Raw genomic sequence first — 8,830 nt, 5'->3', positions numbered from 1 at the left:
GGGAGTCCAATATTCCAGGGCAGGAAGCATCCAGCACGGGAGAAAGATGTAGGCTGGGAGGCTAGGCCAGTCTCTCTTTTCACATGTTTTTTCCTGCTTATATTGTAGCCACACTGGAAGCTGATTAGATTGTGCCCACCCAGATTAAGGGTGGGTCTGCCTTTCCCAGCCCACTGACTCAAATATTAATCTCCTTTGGCAACACCCTCACAGACACACATGGGATCAAAAGTTTGTATCCTTCAATCCAATCAAGTTAACACTCAATATTAACCATCAGAAGTCCACCCCTCGCCAACTTGAACCCATACACATCTCGTGAGATCATAATCTTCAAATAAAGACAATAATAAGGTCATAATTATGCCTAACATAATACAACTATCCTTCCTTCATACAACCATAAATGTACCAGTCTCCAACTCAAATACTATTACATAAAGTTAACAATACTTGAATGCTGATGTGAAGTCAATAAATCTCATGTCACATGATAAAGTAAACAGGAAATAAAATGAAGATATTTTCTTAGTACAAATATATACATGCACAAACAGGTTTTTACAGAAGGAGGAAATAATCATGACAATTACAGTCCTCATTTCTGCAGCTGGTCATGTGATCATAGCTGATATTGATGACTACCGTCTTCTACTACCCATTCTGTATTCCCTTTGCCTTCAGCAAGCATCTTAGCAGGTTGTGGTTTTTTTCCTGGTGGAGTGGCCCAAACCTTTATTCCTAAAGGGTCTGGGCCATTTGTAGTCCTGGCTGGACTGATCTGTTGTAGTTTCCCATTGACCTGAATCACAGGGCATGGTAATACTAAGAGATGCCCTAATCGATCTCCTGTATTCCATGCATACTCTTCCTTACCTCCATTGTGGAGTAGTAGACTAATTTCATCTTGATAGTCTGGGTCAATCACCCCAGTCAACACTGTAACTCCCTTCTTAGCCTGTTAACTTAAAGGTAGGAGGAGCCCAAGTGTCCAGGTGGCAATCTTAACTCCCAGTTTAATGGAATTATTGTTGTGTCTCCTGGTGGCAGCATTCCTCTCTCTGGAACTAAGACCTCTATGCTGGCAGAACATAATGTCGTGGAAACAGGAAGGAAAAATTTTGCTCATGGGTCATTAGGGGTGATGGTGAGTGGTGTCACTTCTACTTCCACCCCTTGGTTCCTGGACCTGTAAATCCTGGCTATGGGAGAAACAGTACCATATATTGGACACTGATTCAGAGCATACATGGCCTTCTTAAGAACTTTGCCCCATCCCTGCAAAGTGTTGTCACCTAGTTGGCATTGTAATTGTGACTTCAAAAGGCCATTCCACCGTTCTATCAATCAGCTGCTTCAGGGTGATGGGGAACATGATAAGACCAGTGAACTCCATGAGCATGAGCCCACTGCCACACTTCTTTAGCTGTTAAGTGAGTGTCTTAGTCAGAGGCAATGCTGTGTGGAGTACCATGCCAGTGGATAAGACATTCCATGAGTCCATGGATGATAGTCTTGGCAGAAGCATTGCATGCAGAGTAGGCAAACCCATATCTGGAGTAAGTGTCTATTCCAGTGAGGACAAACCTCTGCCCTTTCCATGATGGAAGAGGTCCACTATAATCAACCTGCCACCAGGTAGCTGGCTGATCACCCTGAGGAATGGTGCCATATCGAGGGCTCAGTGTTGGCCTCAGCTGCTGGAAAATTGGGCACTCAGCAGTGGCCATAGCCAGCTCAGCCTTGGTGAATGGAAGTCCATGTTGCTGAGCTCATGCATAACCTCCATCCCTGCCATGATGACCACTTTGTTCATGGACCCATTGGGTGATGACAGGGGTGGCTGGGGAAAGAGGCTGAGTGGTGTCCACAGAACAGGTCATCCTATCCACTTGATTATTAAAATCCTCCTCTGCTGAGGTCACCCATTGGTGAGCACTCATATGGGATACAAATATCTTCACAGTTTTTGACCACTCAGAGAGGTCCATCCACATACCTCTTCCTCACATTTTCTTGTCACCAATTTTCCAGTCATGCTTCTTCCAAGTCTCTGGCCATCCAGCCAAACCATTGGCTACAGCCCATGAATCAGTATATAATTGCACATCTGGCAATTTCTCCTTCATGTATAGTGCACAGCCAGCTGCACTGCTCAAAGTTCTGCCCACTGGGAAGATTTCCCTTCACTGCTGTCCTTCAGGGATGTCCTAGAAAGGGACTGTAGTGCTGCAGCTGTCCACTTTCAGGTGGTGCCTGCATATCATGCAGAACCGTCTGTGAGCCAGACCCTAGTCTTCTCTTCCTCCGTCTATTGATCATAGGAAACTCCCCATGAGGCCATCAGTGCAGGCTAGGGAAGAGAAGGCAGGATGGCAGGAGTGGAGGCCATGGGCATTTGAGCCACTTCCTCATGTAACTTACTTGTGCCTTCAGGACCTGCTTGAGCCCAATCACATATATACCACTTCCATTTGATGATGGAATGCTGCAGTGCATGATCCACTTTATGGCTAGATGGGTCAGAATGCACCCACTTCATGATAGGCAGTTCAGGTTGCATGGTGTCTTGTTGGCCCATAGTCAAACATTCAGTTTCCACCAAAGCCTAGTAACAGGCCAAGGGCTGTCTCTCAAAAGGAGAGTAGTTACCTGCAGAAGATGGCAGAGCCTTGCTCCAAAGTCCTAGAGGCCCGCACCGTGATTCACCTATGGGGGCCTACCAAAGGCTCAAAACAGCATCCCTATCTGCCACTGACACCTGGAACACCATTGGATGTGCTGGGTCATATGGTCCGAGCAGCAGAGCAGCTTGCGCAGCAGCCTGGACCTGTTGCAGACCCTTGCCCTGTTCTGGATCCCACTCAAAACTGGCAGCCTTTCCGATCACTCGATAAATGGGCTGGAGTAACACACCCAAATGAGGAATGTGTTGCCTCCAAAATCCAAATAGGCCCACTAGGCATTGTGCCTCTTTCTTGGTTGTAGGAGAGGCCAAATGCAGCAACTTATCCTTCACCTTAGAAGAAATATCTCAACAGGCCCCACACCACTGGACCCCTAGAAATTTTACTGAGGTAGAAGTTCCCTGAATTTTAGTCAGATTTATTTCTCATCCTCTGGCATGCAAATGTTTCACCAATAAGTCCAGTGTGTTTGCTCCTTCTTGCTCACTGGATCCAATCAGCATAATGTCATTAATGTAATGGACCAGTGTGATATCTTGCAGAAGCAAAAAGTGATCAAGTTCTCTCTAAATAAGATTATGACACAAAGCCAGAGAGTTGATACACCCCTGAGGTAGGACAACAAAGGTATATTGCTGGCCTTGCCAGCTGAAGGCAAATTGTTTCTGGTAGGCCATATGGACAGGAATGGAGAAAAAGGGATTTGCCAAGCCAATGGCTACATACCAGTTACCAGGAGAAGTGTTCATTTGCTCAAGCAATGAAACCACATCTGGTACAGCAGCTGCAATTGGAGTCACCACTTGGTTAAGCTTATGATAATCCACTGTCATTCTCCCAGACCCATCTGTCTTCTGCACAGGCCAAATGGGAGAGTTGAATGGGGATGTGGTGGGAATCACCACACCTGCATCTTTCAGGTCCGTGGTGGTGGCACTAATCTCTGCAGTCCCTCCAGGGATGCGACATTATTTTTGATTTACTATTTTTCTATGTACAGGCAGCTCTAATGACTTCCATTTGGCCTTTCCCACCATCATAGCCCTCACCCTACCAGTCAGGAAGCCAATGTGAGTGTTCTGCCAGCTGCTAAGTATGTCTATGCCAATTATGCATGCTGGCACTGGAGAAATAATCACAGGATAAGTCCAGGGACCCACTGGACCCACTGTAAGTCAGACCTGAGCTATAACTCCATTAATTACACGACCTCCATAAGCCCCTACTTTAACTGGAGGACCACAATGGTGTTTTGGGTCCCCTGGAATCAAGATCAGCTCAGAGCCAGTGTCCAGTAGTCCCCACAATGTCTGATCATTTCCCTTTCCCAATGCATAGTTACCCTGGTAAAAGGCCGGAGGTCTCCTTGGAGAAGGATGGGAGAAAGATTCACTGCATAAGTTAATGGTAATGTAGTGGGGTCCTTCCTCAAGGGGATCTGGCCTCCCCTTCATTCATGGGGTTCTGGGTCTGTAAGCTGGCTCAAGTCTGGAAATTGATTGAGAGGCTGTGATTCTCTGTTTTTATAATTCAAATTAGTCTTTTGTCCATTTGACCTTTTCTGCTTGTATAAATTAAGTAGGAAGGTGGTAGGCTTCCTATCAATTTCACTTCTAGGAACACCATGATTAGTTAGCCAATGCCAGAGCTCTACATGAGTCAGACTATTCTGATTGCCGCTTTACCTCTGCTCTGCATTACAGTAGCTACACCCACCTTGCCTTCGACAGCTGAGTGCCACCACTTGGCTCCTGCAACCTCGGGATCCAATGATTCCCATTGTATTTAAATTTTGTAGTTGAGAGACTGCAGTTCCCACTGTTAGATATGACATACGGAGAAGAGCAATTACAGGGCTCTTCAAATATGCAGGACGTGCCCTCACAATTCTATTTCACAAGTCATTGGCCAAGGGCTTATCTTCTGAACCCTCCCAGCTGGGATGAGTAGGTCTAAAGTGACTAATCCACTTCACCATCCCAATCTCCCTAAGTTTTTGGATCCCTTCCTCTACTTTAAATCAAGGGAGATAAGGGATTTCCCACTCACTGACGATGGGCCATCTTTTAATCTATATTTCAGCTAACCAAGCAAATAAACTATTAGGACCTTTTTTTAACTCCCTGAGCTGCAACATTAAATGCAGAGTCCCTAATTAGTGGCCCAAAGCAAGAAATTCTGCCTGATCCAACTCTATGTTCCTTCCACCATTATCCCACACCCTTAATATCCATTCCCATGCCTGTTCTCCAGATTTCTTTTCACATAAATTAGAAAACTCAAGCAATTCTTTTTGAGTGTAGTGGACCTCCTCATGGGTCACACTCTCAACCTCATCTCCAGGGGTCTGCTGGGACTTTAGTCTAGTTATAGGTATAGGAGCAAACAGGGGTGTTGGGGGTGACTCCTGAGGAGAATCAACATTATCTTGCCTGGCAACTATCCCTGGGGAGGCCATCACTGTTGCCTCAGGCAACATAGGGTTTATCTACTCAGACAAAGGTGGAAAGGCTGATGGCAGCATGGGTTGGTGAGGGGACGTTGCCACTACTGGGGATGGGGAAGCTGTTTCCTCTGGCAAAAATGTTCAAACTCAGTGTCCCCAGCTTCATCAGGGTCCTCCCACACATCCCCAACCAAGTTTCAGGATCCCATTATTTTTCTAGTCAATGCCCTCACTTTAAGGGTAGACACCTGGTGAGGCTGTGCGTGCACATTTTGTTGCAGTTCAGCCACTGACATGATAAGAGCTTGTGTCTGTTTTTCTACAATTTCAGCTCTTTCTCTACAGGGGGTAAGACTCTCACTCAGGACTATCTCAGCAGATCTGAGGCTCAGTATCTGCTTCTGAAGCCAGGAGACAGAATCCCTGAGTTCATCATTTTCTTTCATCACTTTGTCCACTGAACTTAGGAGCAACCAACCAGCTTCATTATGTTCTTTGGTTCTCCACATATAGTCAAAGGTATTATGTATAGAGTCACTAAACTCCTTGCCTCTCATGAATGGTGTCAAATGCATTTATTTTGCATAACTCTCTAAGCAGTTCACACCAAGGACTATCAGTGTTCTCCATACTATTAGAAATAGTGTCTTTAGCATTTTTGGGTCAATCATATTAAGCAGCTAACTCCAGAAACCCCAAAACCAACAAAAGAACTCCATCCTTAATATTCTGTTTCTCTAGAACCACTCCTGGCACCAATATCTGTATTAGTCAGGGCTCCCTAGAGAGACAGAACTAATAGGAGATTAGTTAGATTATATATATATATATATGGGAGTTTATTAAGTACTAACTCACATGATCACAAGGTCCCACAATAGGCCCTCTGCAGGCTAAGGAACAAGGAGAGCCAGTCCAAGTTCCAGAACTGAAGAACTTGAAGTCCGATGTCTGAGGGCAGGAAGTATCCAACATGCGAGAAAGATGTAGGCTGGGAGGCTAAGCCAGTCTCTCTTTTCACATTTTTCTGCCTGCTGATATTCCAGCTGCACTGGAAGCTGATTAGATTGTGCCCATCCAGATTAAGGGTGGGTCTATGTTTCCCAGCCCACTGACTCAAATATTAATCTCCTTTGGCAACACCCTCAGAGACAGACACAGGATCAGTACTTTGTATCCTTCAGTCTAATCAAGTTGACACTCAGCATTAACCATCACAACTGGCAACATGCTCTATTATACCAACACTTAAGCAAATGGGTACAGAATCAAGGGAGGGACCCAATCTATTTTTTCTCAGTGTGTGATCTCTGACAACCTGCACAAAATACTTGAGTGCTAGTTGAAAATACATATTTTTCCTCTGATTCCACCCTAGACCACTATATCAATCATCTGGAGAGGTGAATTCTAAATCTTTAAACAAGATCATGAGATGATTTTTGCAGAGACCTAAGTCTGAAAATCATTGCTGGATAATCTGAGGAAAAACACTGGTACAATTCAAATTTTTTTGAGATAAGCAAAACATGGGTATTCTCATTCATCTCTGAGACCCTTCCTCAGCAAGTAGCCACTAAATCGTATTATTGACATTTGACTAAAATGGGGGTCATTCAAAGGATGCAGGCCCTAAAAAAATGAAGCCCAGGAGGAACGCCTTGTAGACATCCACAACTTTCACATGGATATTTCCTAACGAAAAAATGGAAAGTGCTGGAAATGTTTTTAAATGATAATGAGGACACTGATATTTAATTTTTGCTTTTAAGGAGAAAATATAGAAATATCAGGAAACAATAAGATTTATTTGTAATCCTAGTTTTTAATTCACTATTGATATAAAATAAAAGATAGGTTATTTGTTTAGAAAGATAAGGAATATGTTTAATTTGCTTTGCTCTGTCAACCTAAATGGCAAACAGAATGAGGCTCTGTAGAAGAAAGTGATAATCTATGCATGCCATAGTAAACTATGTACATATTCAGGAAGGTAAAGGAAGACAAAGGTTTTTAAAGGAAAAATGAAGAGGATTATATAATGTTTTGAGATAATTATCCCTGACTACCTGGTTCAATAAGAAGGGTGATGCTAGTCCAAGGTTGGATAGGCAGTTGCAGGGCAGACTCTGCAGAAGTACTTTTTGTGTAAGGTTGTGATGGCCTTTGTGCAAGGTTGTGGTTCTTGTAGAGTCTTTTGTGATAGTTTTTGTTATGAGACATTTATGCATGAGAACCTCTCTCTTTGAGGCCTTCCCCAGCTCTATTTGTTAGGATTTTTTTTTTTAGCACAGTTGACTTCATTTTGATTCTTCTAACTTCCACAGCTTTTAGAAAATATTGTCATATTTCATGTGTTAAACATAAGAGTATAGTTTGTGTCAAGAATAATTATTGGCCAGGCACGGTGGCTCACGCCTGTAATGCCAGCACCTTGAGAGGCCGAGGCGGGCGGATCACAAGGTCAGCAGATCAAGACCATCCTGGCTAACACGGTGAAACCCCGTCTCTACTAAAAATACAAAAAATTACCCTGGAGTGGTGACGGGTGCCTGTAGTCCCAGCTACTCGGGAGGCTGAGGCAAGAGAATGGTGTGAACCCAGGAGGCAGAGCTCGCAGTGAGCCGAGATGGTGCCACTACACTCCAGCCTCGGCGACAGAGCAAGACTCCGTCTCAAAAAAAAAAAAAAAAAAAAAAAAAAGAATAATTATCAATGCACTTACTGAATTTACCTTTAAATGTTTTAGGGATACCAGTATTTTGTCTCCATCTCTTTCAGTTAATAAATAACAAGCAAATATCTGAGGAACAAGAGAAGGGGAACTAGTAATTATTGAGTAGTTACTATATATCAGTTCTTGTATTAAGCAACATATAGGCTATGTCTGAGAAGAGAAGAAAGTGTGAAAAAGTGTTTTTTAACACACTAGAAAAAGTTATGTTTTCAGAATTTAGTAGATCTCATGGTGACAAGAAGCTACAGAAAGCACTAGTGTTCAGAAGAGCAAGTGAGGGTGCAGGACAGTTTATTGAATCCAATATTTGCCAACAGTAGCTAGCCTAACTCAGCGGTTCTCAAACCTGAGGGTGCATCATCAGAATCATCAGAGGAACTTATTAAAACATGATTATGTCCCCCCTCCCCCACTTTTGGAGTTCCTGGTTCTGTAGCTCTGAAGTGGGGCTAGAGAATTTGCACTACTAAGTTCCCAGGTAAAGCTGATGTTACTGTCTGGGGACCACAATCTGGGAACCACCGGTCTAACTAGTTTCATTTCCTCAGTTGTGGCTGATCCTGTAGCCTTGTCTCCATGTTGCAAGAGGTATACATGCAGATAATACCAGATGCATCCTGGAACTAACAGCCTAAAGTATTTCTAGTTCTGCAATTGTTTTTGATAAGGAGAAATAATTCTTATTTAAAGGTATATTTTGGTCAAGTTAGAAAATTTGGAGAAGAAAAGAAAAGTGTCCTTACAACAACTGAAAATACTTTTCCAACATGAAATCTTAAATTTGCACCATGTTTTATAATCAAATGAAGTAGGGATCTTGCTTTGTTTATATTTCTCCTCTTGAAACTTGGCTACAGAAGATAAGCACAAGCATAAAATGGCTGACAACAAAATTTGCCTGTTTCTTAAATTTTTTACTTTTTTGTACACTTTTGAACAAAAGATCCACCTTAAATCTCA

At 43.2% G+C, this 8,830-nt stretch overlaps 1 pseudogene; it reads right to left on the bottom strand.

The window, feature by feature from the left end:
- Nucleotides 1–622: 622 nt before the first annotated feature.
- On the bottom strand, nt 623–4,131 carry LOC107987058 (uncharacterized; annotated as a pseudogene).
- Between the last annotated feature and the right edge of the window lie 4,699 nt (nt 4,132–8,830).

This window comes from Homo sapiens, chromosome 9, assembly GCF_000001405.40.
Source record: "Homo sapiens chromosome 9, GRCh38.p14 Primary Assembly".
Lineage (NCBI taxonomy): Eukaryota > Metazoa > Chordata > Mammalia > Primates > Hominidae > Homo > Homo sapiens.
This window is presented reverse-complemented; position numbering and strand designations above follow the sequence as displayed.